Source organism: Homo sapiens, chromosome 16 (assembly GCF_000001405.40).
Source record: "Homo sapiens chromosome 16, GRCh38.p14 Primary Assembly".
Taxonomy (NCBI): domain Eukaryota; kingdom Metazoa; phylum Chordata; class Mammalia; order Primates; family Hominidae; genus Homo; species Homo sapiens.
The window spans coordinates 66,434,156-66,450,940 of NC_000016.10; the positions used below are offsets into that span (position 1 = coordinate 66,434,156).

General features: G+C 50.9%; 1 protein-coding gene across 6 annotated transcripts in view; it reads left to right on the forward strand.

The window, feature by feature from the left end:
• Positions 1-16,785, forward strand: part of BEAN1 (brain expressed associated with NEDD4 1) — a 67,994-nt gene that overhangs the window by 6,861 nt on the left and 44,348 nt on the right. For 3 of the 6 annotated variants that reach the window (NM_001178020.3, XM_011522884.2, XM_011522883.2), the window contains exon 2: positions 3,440-3,546. The exons of 2 other annotated variants lie outside the window; for them this stretch is intronic. In NM_001178020.3, the coding sequence (NP_001171491.1) occupies positions 3,522-3,546 (25 nt within the window). In that variant the 5' untranslated portion in view covers positions 3,440-3,521. Of the gene's footprint in view, positions 1-3,439; positions 3,547-13,319; positions 14,455-16,785 lie in introns of those variants that run through there. One more of the 6 variants, XM_011522894.2, reaches the window with a different exon arrangement.

A 16,785-nucleotide genomic window follows, 5' to 3' on the forward strand; every position in this document is an offset into this window, starting at 1 on the left:
GGGCAGGGGAAGAGGTGACCACGCTTGGCCTAGCAGCTGGGGTGGGCCTGCCCCCGACCCCGACCCCAACCCCGACCCCGACCCCTGGCAAAGGAACCACAGTCCCAGCCCATCTGTGCCCCTCATGGCTGTCTCCTCTCAGCAACTTCAGTCACATGCGTGCGGGACACCAGGATGGGCACTTGCTTACCTGGAGCCCCCACACCCAGCTCCTTTGTCTTGATGACCCCGACAAAGCTCTACCCTAGCAGAGGGTCTGATGCCACCAGGGAGTGGTTTTCTTCTGGGTCCTCCGGCAGAAATCCTGGAGTGGGGGAAGGGAGAAGGAAACAGGCAGCCAGGCTGAAAGTCCAGCTCCTATTTTAGGACCCCCCAAAGTCCCTCCATGTGTTTTCCAAGGGTTTTGTGGGACACCGCGTAGGTGCTTGGGAAATGAATCAATGGATGCAAGCCTGGGGTGCTAGGAGGTTGCAGCGGGAGGCTGTGTTTAAAGTGCTGATGGCATTGCAGGAGGCAGGGAGTGGCAGCCCGGGTTACTGTTGGCATCGTGGTCACCAATGGTGACAAGATGCCTGGGAAGCATCTCAGCTTTTTGCATAGAGATCCTCCTCTTCAGCAAGCCAAGCACCTTTGAAAGGCAGCCTCCACCCCTCAGTCGTGCGCTTGCATCAGGCTGAGGTTGGCTTGCTCTAGTGTTTCCATGCACTTTTGAACTTCCCCTCCGTTCCCAACCCTGAGCTAGTTTGCAGAGGCCACACTGACCCTCCATGCCCTCGAGGAGCTACTGGTCTAGAATAATTTAGATCCGGAGTTGTCCTGGAAGGGCACCCAGGTGTGACAGAAACACAGCCAGAGTGATCATTCTGTCTCCACCAGTCAAGGAGGACCTCACTGAAGAGGTGTCTTGATCTGGGTATTGACAGCTACATAGGAGTTTGCCAAGTGGAAGGAATGGCATGCTAGGGAGAGGGAACAGCCCAGAAGGATGATCAGCCCAGGGTGTCTAGGAAGCAGGCCAGCCAGAGCATCAGGGCAGCCGGTCTCTGGGGGTGTCCCTGGCAGTAACTGAGAGGCACTGGGGGTGAGAGAGTCCCTCTGCACACAGCTCTTCCTCCATCTCTTCTCTGTGACCTTGGATGGGTTATTTCCCTGAGCCTGTTCTCTCATCTGCACAATGGAAATGATGTCCCCCACCTCAAAAGTCTGTTGCAATACCATTGGTGACATTAGGCACATGCAGGTATTTGGTGAATGTGAGCCACAGCTGGAGGCCCCAGTGCCCAGAAGGCTTCCTTGTAGGGAAATGCAGCCAAAGTGCACTGAGAAATAACTGGTTTGTTTTTGTTTTTTGAGATAAAGTCTCACTCTGTCACCCAGGCTGGAGTGCAGTGGCATGATCTCGGCTCACTGCAACCTCCACCTCCCAGGTTCAAGCGATTCTCCTGCCTCAGCCTCCCGAGTAGCTGGGATCACAGGCACATGCCACCACACCTGGATAATTTTTTGTATTTTTAGTAGAGATGGGGTTTCACTGTGTTAGCCAGGATGGTCTCGATCTCCTGACCTCATGATCCGCCTGCCTCGGCCTCCCAAAGTGCTGGGATTACAAGCATGAGCCACCACGCCTGGCCAAAATAACTGGTTTTTCTATTTAACGTGAATCAGAGAACTGTCTTTGGAGAGTCTGTGCTCAAAAGTCTAATCCTTCAGTGCTAATACCAGCTCTGCCAATTCTTGGCAGTGTTTTGCCTCTCTGAGCCTTGGTGTCCTCATATTCTTCTTAGCCCCTCCCAAGCAGGGATGGCAAGCCTCAATTTGCTTTAGGGATGAGGGATATATACCCCCTCATGACCCCTGCAGGGGCAAACTCTTTTCCCATTGGCTTTAGGGCTGCCAGCTATGCCCTGCAAAAGCCCACAGGGCTTGGCACTCATGATCTCTGCTCACCAATGCCCACAGGTGCAGTTTCGCTTCTGCAAGGCAAGTGACCACACTCCCTAGAAATAAAAACCTTATCTCTCTCCTGTTCCTACAGCCTCATGTCCCTTGGGAGACATGAACCAATTCAGATCTTCAGCAACATGGGAGAATGGGCTACTTTTTTTCTTTTCTTTTTTTTTTTTTTTTTTTGAGACAGAGTCTCGCTCTGTCACCCAGGCTGGAGTGCAGTGGCATGATCTCGGCTCACTGCAAGCTCCGCCTCCCAGGTTGACGCCATTCTCCTGCCTCAGCCTCCTGAGTAGCTGGGACTACAGGCGCCTGCCACCATGCCCGGCTAATTTTTTGTATTTTTTTTTTTTTTTTAGTAGAGACGGGGTTTCACCGTGTTAGCCAGGATGGTCTCGATCTCCTGACCTTATGATCTGCCCGCCTCGGCCTCCCAAAGTGCTGGGATTACAGGTGTGAGCCACTGCATCCAGCCCCTTTTTTTTTTTTTAAAGAGAGGGTCTCACTCTGTCACCCAAGCTGGAGTGCAGTGGTGTGAACATGGCCCACTGCAGCCTTGACCTCCTGGACTCAAGCAATCCTCCCATCACAGCCTCCCGAAATACTGGGATTACAGGTGTGAGCCATTGCACCCAGCCATGAGTTACCTTTTTAAAATGTTTTCTCCATTGCAAATTGGAGTCAAAGTGACCTGGCCCTCCCTCACTGCTCTAGACATCCACTTGTTCATCAGGTTCATACTGGGGGGCGGGGAGAGAGGGAAAGAAGCATTTTCATTCTGTAGGCCTTTGTTTCTGAATCGGTAATTTAATATACAGATGCCTTCTAAAGAATTGTGCTGGCTGACAGTGTGGGCTCTGGAGTCAAACTGATCTGGACTCAAGTCTCAGCCAGTAGTTAGAAGCTGTGTGCCCTTGGGCAAGCTGCATAACCACTGAGCCTCAACTTCCTTGTTTATAAAATGGGGATGAAAAGAGCATCCTCCTCTTATTTATGTTGGGGTAATAATAATAATAATAATAATATGGTTTGGGCTAGGTGTCAATGAACACCCTTCAAAAGCCAGCTGTGAGAGCTTGAACTAGCCCCTCACCTCTCCAGGTCTCAGTGTTCCCAGCCCTGATAGTTCCAAGTGGCTCATGATGCCATGGTCTGTTGAAGTTGTCCGAAGCAGTGGGATCTCACATTTTCATCATGAGACAGAAGAACTCTGGGATCCTAATTCCCAAAGATCCACCCAAGAGAGATATCTCCTCCCCACCACCCCCCACCACTGGGACCCCAACACACACTTGCCCTACCCCTGTGTCCCTCTCCCCATTCTACAGCCCAGAGGTCCCCCAGCCCCTTGCCCAGACTAGGCACGTGCTCTCAAAGAAGTGACCATCCTCTCCCGCAGAGGTTGACAGCTCAGGAGATGTGAGCGCCCAGCCTGCAGGGGCTGTGGGTGCGCCATGGGCCCCCCAACACCTGCCTGTTTGTGTCTCCGCAGGTGAGTGGAGGGGCCTTCCCTGCGAGAAGTCAGAGCTGTGCCCGTGGGCAGGCTGGCTCCGCTGTTCTGCTCCAAGGATTACATGTCCTTCAAACGTCCCTGCCCCTGTAAGTTTCCTCCCCACATCCTTCCACCACTTGGGGCCAGGCAAGGGCAGAGCTTGGAGTCGAGCTGCAGAGAACGGCTTGAGGTGTTTGGCCAAAGAACTGCAGGGGTCCAACCAGAGGCTAATGTGGCATGCTGGGTGGGGAGAGGGCAACACGGAAGACCCCTGACGTCTGCAAGATGCTCCCTGAGAACTGAAAATCGCACTTTGGCCCATTCTTCTGTATCAGCCCTTCCCGAAGTGTGGATCGGAGTTCCTCTGAGGGATGTTAATGGGATGACACACACCCACACACAAATAAAAGACTACATGGCCAAGTAAGTGGGAAAAATGCTGGGGGAGTCATGTTAAGAAAGTTTTGCTCCTGCAAGACTTTCCTGAGCTTTTAATATGGTGATGTGTGGCCGGCGTGGTGGCTCATGCCTGTAATCCCAGCCCTTTGGGAAGCCGAGACAGATGGAATACCTCAGGTCAGGAGTTCGAGACCAGCCTGGCCAACATGGTGAAACCCCGTCTCTACTAAAAATACAAACATTAGCTGGGCATGGTGGTGGGCGCCTGTAATCCCAGCTACTCAGGAAGCTGAGGCAGGAGAATTGCTTGAATCCGGGAGGCGGAGGTTGCAGTGAGCCGAGATCACACCATTGCACTCCAGCCTGGGCGACAGAGCGAAACTCTGTCTCAGAAAACAAATAATAATAACATGGTGATGTGTGTTGTGAGGCTCCCATAGGTAAGAGAAAACCCACTGCTCCTCTCAAACATTAACCACAAAGAATGTTTCATGGGATTGGTGTTCCCCAGAACACACTTCTCGGGGTTTACTCTCCTAAGGAAACCCATCCCGAGCATCCCCACCATGAAGTTCCTCATTCGCGGAAGCCTGTAGATGATCTTGCCCGTCGGCAGTCTTCTCATGGCTCCCTGAGGCCCCTGAGTCCAAGTGATGGAATCAGCCAGGGGTACCCCTGATGTCCAAGACTGCAGCCCCCTCGACTTCTCCCCTAGTCTCCACCCGCTTGACTCATGCCACCACCCTTGCCCCAGGGCCCCTTTCACTTCTCCCACAGCAGCCACCTGCTTTCTTCCATGATGTTCCCTGAGCCCCCCCCAAACCACCACCACTCGCTATAATTTGGGGAGACATGCAGGACTGCCCTGTCCCTTCTCCTTGATAAGTCAGGACTGTGAGTCTGTGAAATCAGAGACCCTAACCTCAGAGGGGGACACTTTCCCCTCTCCCCTGCTCACTGTGGGTAATGCCTCCCCAACTCGCCATTGTCTGTTCCAATCTGTGCCATTGTTTACGTGGATCATGGGGGTGGGGGCCTCTCTTCCAAAAGTCGAAGCCTTATTGTTAAATCATTTGGATATCAAGGGACAGCTGCAGTGGGAGGTAGGGGACACTGGCATGTCCCACCTGGGTGAGATCATCACCAGGCACGCCAGGGGGATGAGCTGGCTGTGGGGTTCATTGTTCAAAGAGTAGTGTCCAGAGGGTGGTGGAGCTCGGCCTGGCTGCTCTGGGTACCCGAGGAGGGGTAGTGATGGATAGCACAGGCTCAACAAATTGTTGCTGTTGTCACTGTTGCTGTGGCATGATCAGGAAAGGAAAGCCTGAGTCCCAGGCCAGGAGAGGAGACTGCTATTCAGGGCACCCCAGAGCCCAGGGACACCTGCCCTGCAGAGCACTGGGATGGTCATGTTCTTGGCCCTATCTTCTGGCCAGGCAGGAGCAGCCCAGCATGGAGAAGCCTGGGAAAAGTCAAGGCTGGGGATGCTGAGTGCGGAGGGCTTTCCAGAACCTTTTGGGCTGAACCCCAGGCCATTGGAAGCTGGGTCCATCTCACTAACAGAGGCCATCCCTGCAGGGCAGCCCTCTGCATATCCACCTCCTGAGGACTCCAGGGTGTGGTCACTGACATTCGAGGCCATTTAGAAGTGGCTCCTGCACATCTCTGAAATTCCCCCTTCCCCAAAGACCCAATACCTAGCATGCAGTAGGCACTCAATGTTTGTTGAGTGAATAAACACATAATTAAACACCCTGGAGGAGGAGCTAGAGGCCATTGTCAGGGAGAAGCTGAAGCCCCTGACTCTGCCACCAGATCCCTCCATGACTTTGACCCAGACATATCTCTGAGACAAAGGGGTCCACCAAGCCCAGTGGATTCCAGGAGCTCAGGACTGCTGCGAGGCTCCATGGAGACTCTGTCATTGTCTCTGCCAAATTCTTCTCACATTGTCCAGTCTGAACTTGTCCAAGAAGCACCTGGTGTCCCCTTCCAGCACCCACAATCAGCTTCAGTCTGGGTCCAGTCTGGCTTGTGCACCCGCACCCCAACATCCCATCAACTTCTGTGAAGTTAAAACCATTCCATGGTTTCCATTTCTCAGCTGCGTCTCACCCTGTTGGGTACTTCTTTTTTTTTTTTTTTTTTTTTTTTGAGATGGAGTTTCACGCTGCCACCCAGGCTGGAGTGCAGTGGCACGATCTCAGCTCACTGCAGGCTCCGCCTCCCAGGTTCAAGCGATTCTCCTGACTCAGCCTCCCAAGTAGCTGGGACTACAGGCGCCCACCACCACACCTGGCTAAGTTTTTTTTGTTTTTAATAGAGATAGGGTTTCATCATTTGACCAGGCTCGTCTCGAACTCCTGACTTCAGGTGATCTGCCTGCGTTGGCCTCCCAAAGAGCTGGGATTACAGGCGTGAGCCACAGTGCCTGGCCCCTGCTGGGTGCTTCTGTTTGTGATGACTTCTCCTGCTTTGGGTTCCCTGACTCAGAGTCCTCCCTGTGTCCTCCAGCCAGCCTCTCAGACCATCTGACCTTCCATTCGTGGTCTCCTTTGGCAGTGGTGGAAGAGCAGGGATTCTCCCTGCACCTGCCCTGGGATGCTGGGCCCCCAGGGCTCCAGTGCAGCCCCCGCCCTTCTCGCTGTGCATGCCCCAGACCTTCTCAGCCTCACCGCTTTCAGCGGCAGCCTCTAGGCCAGTAGCTTCCAACAGTCTCTCCCACCCTAGTTTCTTCCTGGGCTTTCTATTCCTTCTTCCTCCTGCTGTCTGTCTGCCTTGGGCAGCCCCTACCCCTAACCTGAGTTTCAACCTGACCCAAACTGAATTCTTTGTCTTCCTCTCTAGGCCAGCTTTGCTTGATTTTGCTGTATTGGTTTGGGGCGCTCAAGTCAGAAATCTGGAAATGAACCTCAGTTCCCCTCCTATCATACATCCATCACTGCCAGCTGCCCAAGGAGACCCTTGGGGTTCTGAATTGGCTCAACAGATCATCATTCTGACCTGGCCCCCATCTCGGCCCCCACTTCAGATCAATCTAGAAATTGCTCATTCATTAAGTCTCTTCTGCGTGTTCACTTGTTCGTGCCGCCAGTGGACGGTGAACATCCAGAAAGCAGGGGCCATGCCTGCTGGGTTCCCAGTTCGCCCGCACCACCGTGCTCAGTGCCTGGCACATAGGAGGTGCTCAGTGTTTATTGAGCAACTGAACAAGCGAATGAGTCAAGATGAAGCAAATGCTTTGTGGACAGCCTCCATGGCTCACAGACCAGAGGCCCTCACACAGGTTCTGGGAGGGATGCTGGACCCTGAGCGCTCCAGACCCCCCAAAACAGACATAGGAACACTCAGGAAGGAAACCCGGAAATCCCAGGAGGGCACTCACATGGACACACACCCCTGTTTTTAATTCCTCATTCCAGATCTGGAGCTGTTGTGCACTTAGATACATACAGAATTCCTTTAACTTCCTTAGCCCCCAAAATAAGCTTGCCAGGTACATGTGAAGATACTGAAGCCCCCACAAAATGGGAAAATTAGAGTAGGAGCCCCACCCTGTTCCCATTTGGGCTTCTCCACCCCTACTCCCTGCCAGGTTAGAAGAGTAGCCAGAAAAGTCTGCAGAAGGTAAAACAAGCCCAAACGTTTCCCAAGCAAGACCCTGCCCCTAGGAGTCAGTGCACGTGAGGTCTGGAGAAAGTGAACAGCTATGCCCACCAAGTGCAAGGTGGCAAGGTGAGCGGCACCAGCCCACCTGTAACCCAGGTCTGCCAGCTTCCATGGCTGCAGGCCCTGGGGGAGCAGGCTTGTCCATCAGCCCCTCAGGAGTCCAGCAGGCATTAATCGGCCAGGCTGGGCTGACCCCTCCTAGGCACTGCTCACACCCCAACTTCCCCACCCCTCAACACCGTCTTACTTTCAGGCATTTCAGCTCATCCCTGCCCCTCATGGAGATAGTGCCAGCAGCTCTTATTAACTCCCTCCTTTCAATTTGGCAGATGAGAAGACCAAGGCAGAGGAAGGAGGCAAAAACAAGAAAGGGGGAGGCAGTCAAACCCTGACCCAGGGCAGCCCAGAGGGGTTTTGGCCAAGTGGCTGCAAGAGGGAGATCAGTTTCTCTGCCAGCAAATACCAAGCCTGTGAGCCATTTCCCAGCCTTCAGAGGACCTGCCTCAAGCCTTGAGTGAGTAGGAGAACCAGCCTGGCTCTTCAGGAAGGCTGGAGGTGGAGGAGCCTTCTCCATCAGGCCCCAGCTGGGAAAGGTGGCCCAGGACTCCCCCAGGATGCAGGCTCCAAGAGCAGATGCTTCACAACCTCTTTCTGCCACCAGCTGATGGCAGCTCCGTGGAGCTCCCTGAAAGATGGGGCAGCCCGCCTCCCTCTGGCCTTTGGGAACAGATCTAAGGAAGGAGGGGTTTGGGGGCCCCAGAAGAGACTAAGTCTGTAGTAAAGCAGGAAGAAGAAGGGTGGGAGGTAGCATCTGATCATCCACAGAGAAGTCAAGTGGGGCTTGTCTCTGCTGGGCTCATGGTGGCTGCCTGCAGGCTGGCAGGAATCGCAGCCAGGCAAGGCCTCTGGGTGGGCTTGGATCTCCCTCAGAGATGGTATGATATACAGTGTGTGGGTTCCAGTGCAACCTGGCCCTGCTTCTTATCAGCTGGGGCAAGCAGCCTAATTTCTAAAAACCTCAATTTGCTCATCTATAAAATGGGAATAACAATAGCACCCTTTTGGTTTGGTGCTCGAAATTGACATGCTACACGGAGAGTCTAGCTTGGTGCCTGGCACTGAGAAGATGCTCAAGAAATTTGAAAGTCTTGTCCTTTTGGCTACCTTCTCCCTACACAGGTCTGTATTGAGGGAGAGGGGGAAATAGAGAGAGATAGGGACTCTTGGAGATGAATTTGGGGTTCAGACCAGATGTTGGTGTTTTTCGCTCTGCTCATTGTGACAGTTATCTCTGCAGAGACCTAGCTACCAATAGAAGAAAGGACTTGAGGGCAAGGAGGGCAAACGATGGCACACACTGCAAAATTCACCACTTCTGCGCTCAGAGCAGACATCACTAATCAATTGTAGCACTCTTTCCCACTGAGCTGGAACACATGCAGACACTGCCCAATGATCTCTAGCCTGTGAAATGAAACCATTATCCATCCTTTGCTGAAGTGTGACTTTGGAGTGAGCAAGGGGATGGAGGGAGTGACTTCAGCCAGTGCTCTGTCTCTGAGGGTTGCTGTGAGGATCAAATAAGATATCACAGGTGAAGGATTTACAAGGCCTTATGATCATTTCTTTATGTGGCCTCCTTGCTTCCTTGAAGAAGTCCTGCAAGGGAGGGGTCAGTGTGCCCATTCCACACATGAGGAAGCTGAGGCTAAAGGAGATGAAGAAATTAGTCTAGATGGCACAGCTAGAAAATGGTGCGGTCAGGGCTACGCCCCAAGTGAGTTTGTCCAGGGCTCAATCTTAGCCAAACCACAGCTGGAAAAAGGACAAGGGTGGAGCCAAATCTACTCCTTCATTGCCACAGCAGGGGTGAGGAATCCACTCTGCCACAGGACTTCATGGCCCCTGAACATCCTAGCTGCCCCTCCTCACAGTTCTCTGGTCTAGCACAAAGTCTGACCCTAGTGAGTACTCGGCATTTGATAGCTCATCTTAATTTTATTGCTAGCTCATCTTAATTTTTTTTTAATACAAACTCCTCTTGCTCTGTCACCCAGGCTGGAGTGCAGCGGCACAATCTCAGCTCACTGCAACCTCCACCTCCCCAGTTCAAGTGATTCTCCTGCCTCAGCCTCCCGAGCAGCTGGGATTACAGGTGCCCATCACCACCCCCAGCTAATTTTTCGTATTTTTAGTAGAGATGGGGTTTCACCATGTTGACCAGGCTGGTCTTAAACTCCTGGCGTCAAGTGATCCACCTGCCTCGGCCTCCCAAAGTGCTGGGATTACAGGCATGAGCCACTGCACCCAGCCCGCTCATCTTAATTTTCAGTGCACAATCATATCATATTCAGGTCTCTGGCAAGAGGGCATTCAACCTGGCTGGAGGACTAAATGCAGTCTTAATAGCCCCAACTGTTGCAGAGCACTCTATGCTGGCAAAGTGCTTGCATTTCACTGTCCCCTGGTGGTGAGCTCACTGTCCCTGGTGGCAGCCCTGCCTGATAGCGGCTGGGTGGCTCTTCCCCTGTGTCCACCATGCCCCAAGGAAGGGCTTCCTGAGCTCTTCCCCAGAGCTCCCTTTGTTCTCTGAACTTAGATTTTCCCCAATCTGATCCTTCCCTTTCCTCATAGAGAGGTCTCAAGCCCCTCCTTCCTGACCTCCCTCCAGGACAAAGGGCAAGTGAGGGCTGCAGGCCAGAGGAACATCAGCCTCCATGGCTTGTAGCGGGGCTTTGAGGCTGCAGGTGGAGCCAGCCAATGACAGGTGGCTGGAGGCAGGTCCCCTCGGTGGTCCCTGCTGGTCACAGTGCAGGGGGAGGATGGAGGGGAGGAAGACAGAGAGAGTGGGTGGCAAAGACCTAACCCATCTGTGAAATTTGCAATTGTTGGCAGGTCTTTCTGGGAACTGGGGCTTGAGGACACTGACTTGATCTGTGTCTTTCTCGCCAACAGCCCAGGAGAGGGTAACTGGAGCTGTGTTTTGGAGCACACAGACCTGAGTTTGAATCTTGCTCACATCATTTGTGTACTACCTGACCTCCCTGAGCCTCAGTTCCCCCAGGTGTAAAATGGGGGTATCCCAGTGCTGTGAGAGTTACCATGAGGATTACCTGCCATGAGCGGGAGGTGGGGGCTTGAGCTAATATGTGCCAAATGCCCGGCACTGTGGCGGGAGCATTGCCGCCCTCCAGTTCAAGCTGGCCATGGGTTCCACAAGCCAGAATGAAGCCTGAGGCTGGGTTATCTGCAGCACCGCTCCATCATGGTTCCTATTGTAAACTGTGGACAGTCATCCCTGATATCAGGCATCCTCTTCCATTCATTTATTCATTCGTTCAACAAATATTTATTGAGCATTTGCTACATGCTGAAATCTTTCTGGGTGCCAGGGTTACAGCCTTGAACAAAGCAAAGTCCCAGCTCTTATGGTGCCAACATAGCCAGAAGAGACAGACACAAACAGACAAATGAATATCTAATATGTCAAATTGGGGGAGGAGCTACAAAGACAAAAAAAGCACAGTGAGGTGGCCGGGCGTGGTGGCTCACACCTGTAATCCCAGCACTTTTGGAGGCCGAGGCAGGCAGATCACAAGGTCAGGAGATTGAGACCATCCTGGCTAACACGATGAAACCCTGTCTCTACTAAAAATACAAAAAATTAGCCGGGCGTGGTGGTGGGCGCCTGTAGTCCCAGCTACTCAGGAGGCTGAGGCAAGAGAATGGCGTGAACCTGGGAGGTGGAGCTTGCAATGAGCCGAGATCACACCACTGCACTCCAGCCTGGGCAAGAGAGTGAGACTCCGTCTCAAAAAAAAAAAAAAAAAAAAAAAAAAAAAAAAAAAAAAAAGCAGAGTGAGGTGATGGGTCAGGGCATAGGCTCACCAAGAAGGTAACACTGGAACAGAAGTTGCTAGAGGGAAGAGAGGGAGCCATACAGGTGTCTAGATGAAGAGGGTCCAGGCAGAGGATTCTGAATCAGGAGCAGGTTTGGCTTGATCCATCAACAGCATGAAGGCCAGGGTGCCTGAAGAGGAGGAGAGGAAAGGTACCAGAGGCAGTAGGGACCAGATGATGTAGGGTCTTGGAAGCCGTGGGAGGACTTTGGCATCTAATCAAGTAGTCATTGGAGGGGTTTGAGCTGAGAAGGGACCTGATCATCCTGGTTGTAGTAGAAGAGGCTAGAGGAGGACCCAGTTGGAAGCAAGTAGACCAATTAGGAGGTTAAGACAATGGTCCAGGCCAGGTGGCTCATACCTGTAATCCCAGCACTTTGGGAGGCCGAGGACGATGGATCACCTGAGGTCAGGAGTTCAAGACCAGCCTGGCCAACATAGTGAAACCCCGTCTCTACTAAAAATACAAAAATTAGCCAGGTGTGGTGGGGCACGCCTGTAATCCCAGCTACTCGGGAGGCTGAGGCATGAGAATCGCTTGAACCTGGGAGGCAGAGGCTGCAGTGAGCCAAGATCATGCCACTGATCTCCAGCCTGGGTGATAGAGCGAGACTCTTAGAGTGAGACTCTGTCTAAAAAAAAAAGGGGGGACAGTGGTCTAGGTGATGACAATGGTACCTTGGACCAGGAGGTTCATAGTGGAAGTGTCAATATGGGATCAGATTTGAAGGTGAAACTGTTAGGATTTCCAAATTCATTGGATTTGGGGTGGATAAGGAAGGGGTCAAAAAGGACAGCGTTTGGGGCTTGAAACGTGAAGGACTGAGCTGCCATTTGCTGAGATGGGGAATATTATGGGCAGGTTTGGTGGGGGGCTGTGAGTCAAGATGCAGAGTTTTGACATGTTTTGTCTGAGACGCTTTGCAGGCGTTGGAGTGGAGATACAGGGCAGACAGTTGGGTACGTGAATGTGGGGTTCAGAGAAGAGTCTGGAGCTGGGGATGTAAATTTGAGGACTGTCAGTGTGTGAATGCCGCTCAGTGCTGTGAAGTGGGATGAGATCACCCAGGGAGCAAGTGTGGGAATGTGGGGAAGGGAAGGGTCAAAAGACTGAGTCTTGGGCTGGTGAAGGGCAAAATGATTTCTGTATCTAGAAGTCTTGCCAGGGAAAGCAAGATCCCCTGGGGTCGTCACCCATGGCACCCCAAAGCCAGCCAAGTGCATTGGGGGAGGGATTTTCCTACTAACAGGAATGAGTAAGGACATTTCTGTTTCTCTGCCAAGGGCTACCCTAAATTAGCTACCCTGATTCTCAGCTCTGCATCTGGACCTGTGCCCAGGTGATTGGGAAAGCCTGGTTGTCCTCTGCAGGTGTCACTGCAGAAGCATGCAGCCTGCATGCTTCAAAGACAAGAGAGAGGAACCCAGCCAGCTGTGGTGGCTCACACCTGTAGTCTCAGCACTCTGGGAGGCCAAGGCAGGAGGATCACTTGAGCTCAAGAGTTTGAGATCAGCCTGGGCAGCATACCAAGACCCTGTCTCTACAAAAAATTTAAAGATTAGCTGAGCATGGTGGCACATGCCTGTAGACCCAGCTACCCGGGAGGCTGAGGTAGGAGGATGACTTGAGCCCAGGAGTTTGCGGGTGCCTTCATACCTGGGTGGCACTTGTGTCCCCTAGGAATGGGCCTAAGGAAGAGGATTGGAGGTGAATGTGGCCTCATGCAGTAACAACAGCAAGAGCTAAGAGACCCAGGTTTGAAAACCGCTGGAGCAAACGTATTTCAATCTTTTGAGCCTTTGTTTTTTCACCTGTAAAATGGGATCATTAGACCTAGTTTCCAATGTGACTATGAGGGTTTGGTGAACACAGGGGTGCTCAGTGAGCATGTGTTCTTTTCTTTCTTTTTCAGAGTGTTTATCCTACAGTGACTGTTGCAGAACTAACTCAGTCTTCCCTGCAGGATTCTCCCCAGACTGCCCAGGGAGAGAACACATCTTCTCTCTCCCTTCCCTACCAGCCCCAGGTTGGCATTGAGAGGCAGCTTGGCAAGGTGGCCCACCTGCATTTGCCAAGTTCCAGCAGGGACCAGCCAGGTGCCAGCCTTGTGCCTGACCCCATCACCAACACCTGATGGAGTAACTCAGGCAAATAGATTCTCCCTACCTCATAGGTTGGTTGCAAGAGGTCATCTGCCAAGCCTGTGAGTCTTACCCTGGGGCTCTACCCTAACTGTCTCACACTACAGATGTGGAAACTTAGTCCAGAAAGGAATGGGACCAGGTCACACAGTATGTTAGTGGCTGAAACTTCAACCTCCCATCCTGAGTCCACATAAGGTGCTCTTTCTACATAAATGTGGAAAATGCCCCAGGAGGGAGCCTGCTGCTCTGTTCTCAGTGAAGATGCAGAGGAGAAGCCCTCTTTGGAAAGTAAAACTGTGACCCAAGGCACATCTTTAAAAAGACAGATGTCACAACCCTGTCCCCACCTGCCACTTAGGAGGCAGTGGACAGTCAGACCAGCAAAACTTTCCCCTCCTGCCTGTTGCAATCCCTCCCCTGTAGGCCCCAAGACACTAGGAGAATCTCTGAACATCTACAGCAAGAACCGAGAATTCCTTTCCTAGAGAGATGCTCTAGGGTTTGCTGTTGTTGTTGTTGTTGTTTGTTGTTGTTTTTAGTAGAAATACCAGCTCACAAGAGCCAATAGCTAAATAAGCAGGAGTTTCATGAGCCAGTTGCTAAACCACTGGTAACTTGAAATTCACCACAGTGAGAGTGTTTACACTGTGGAAAATGACAAACGGTACAAATCAGGGATTCTTTTTTTCTTTCTTCCTTTCTTTTTCTTTTTTTCCTGAAAGCTGGTTTGCCAGCATACCACTAAATATAGCATACATACAGAAAGGTGCACCAACCATCAGTGCAAGCTCAAGGAATGTTCACAAACTGAACACATTCATATCAAAAAACACGGCTGGGTGCGGTGGCTCACACCTGTAATCCCAGCACTTTGGGAGGCTGAGGCAGGCAGATCATCTGAGGTCAGGAGTTCAAGACCAGCCTGGCCAACATGGCAAAACCTCGTCTCTACTAAAAAATACAAAAAGTAGCTGGGTGTGGTGGCGGATGCCTGTAGTCCCAGCTACTTGGGAGGCAGAGGCAGGAGAATCTCTTGAACCCAGGAGGCAGAGGTTGCGGTGAGCCGAGATCGTGCCACTGCACTCGGGCAACAGAACGAGACTCTGTCTCAAAAAAAAGAAAAGAAAAAGAAAGAAAGAAAAGAAACACATCCTTGGCCAGGCACAGTGGCTCACTGCCTGTAATCCCAACACTTTGGGAGGCTAAGGCAGGAGGATTGCTAGTGTCCAGGAGTTCAAGGCTTCAGTGAGCTACAATCTTGCCACTGTACTCCAGCCTGGGTAACAGAGTGAGACCCTGTCTCAAAAAAGAAGAAGATAAACACATCCTTACTTGCATCTTAGAACTCCCCTGATGTGTCCTCCCAGTCACTATCCCATGTCAAGGGTAAACATTAACTTGACTTTTGTCACCGTAAATTAGTTTTGCTTATTTTTGAATTTTATATATATGGAGTTGTATGTTTTCTTTCAGGTCTGGCTACTTTTGCTCAGTATTATGTTGTGAGATTCACCCATGTGAGTGCACCACTGCGCTCCAGCCTGGGCAACAGAGCAAGACCTTGTCTCAAAAAAACAATTCAGATTTTAAGTTAACTAAAATTTAAAAGATCATTCATGGGCCGGGTGCAGTGGCTCACACCTGTAATCCCAGCACTTTGGGAGACCAATGCGGGCAGATCACCTGAGATCGGGAGTTCGAGATCAGCCTGGCTAACATGGAGAAACCCCGTCTCTACTAAATATACAAAATTAGGTGGGCATGGTGGTGCATGCCTGTAATCCCAGCTACTCAGGAGGCTGAGGCAGGAGAATCTCTTGAACCCAGGAGGCAGATGTTGCAGTGAGCCGGTATCGCACCACTGCACTCCAGTCTGGGTGGCAGAGTGAGACTCCATCTCAAAAAAAAAAAAAAAAAAAAATCACTAATGAAACAATTTAAAGTTTTTCAAAAAGATTATATTTTTTCAAGATAAAAGGTACCTCCAATGCTTTAAAATATCAGCAGTGATCCCAATAGTTCAAGGACTATTATGAGTATGTGTGGCTATTATACACACGCAATATGTCACCAACACACTCTAAACAGTGAGAATAGAGCACTGTGGCATTGCTCCCATATTATTCTTGTGAGGGAGTAGGATGATCAATTACACCTGCAATACTAGTGTGCTGGCGTGTCTACCAAGTGTAAGATCCAATTATCTAAAATAATATGATGATCAAATTCCCAGACATTATGTAATTTATTACTGAATTTGTATATTCAGAAACCTGGGAAGTGCTCTTTAAATTCCTTCAAACTAGAAATTATCCTAAGCATTAAATAAAAACACTGAACTAAATAGTGTAACCACAAGAGTGGCTGAAGTTCAGTATCTGACTTAACAAATGTTTACATATCATTTCAATATCAATTTTAGCTCAATCTTAGCACATCCAGGGTTTCTCCTGCAGTGGGGCTTATTTTTCACTGTGCAAGAATGAAAGCCCCAGCTCTACACGATTGTCTTATTACGAGAGCCGTGGGGATGGCAAGCTGATGAAACACATGCAGGAGAACATAGGTGCTCACAGCACTTTCCCTTTGTCTGACATTGGCTTTGATTGGCTTTGATTTAGAACAGACTGAAAAAAACATACAAAGGCTGAATGAGGGTCTGTTTCTAAGTGTACTGCAATAACCAAGACCTATACTTCTACTACTGCAAAAATCTTTGCAGGATGGGTCTGGATGGGGTGGCTCATACCTGTAATCCCAGCACTTTGGGAGGCCGAAACGGGAGGATCGCTTGAGGCCAGGAGTTTGAGACCAGCTTGGGCAACATAGCAAGACCCTGTGTATACAAACAAAATTTTAAGATTAGCCAGGTGTGGTGGTACACACCTATAGTCCCAGCTACTTGGAAGGCAAAGGCAGGAGGATCGCTTGAGCATAGGAGTTCAAGGCGGCAGTGAGCTATGATTGTGCCACTGTACTCCAGGCTCCAGCCTGGGTGACAGAGCAAGAAGACCCTGTCTCAAAAATCAAAAAAGAAAGAAAGAAAGAAAAGAAAAAGAAAAAATCTTTGCAGGATGAGAAGTATTCAAGGGACACCTACACTGAAGCATAGGTGAGCAGAGGTATCAAAAGCACTGATAATATGAGTCATCATTAAAAGACAGTCTAGGTAAATATCACACATTTCCATTCAGCAGCTGCTGTGGCTTGCATATTTTGAACTGAAAAGGAATC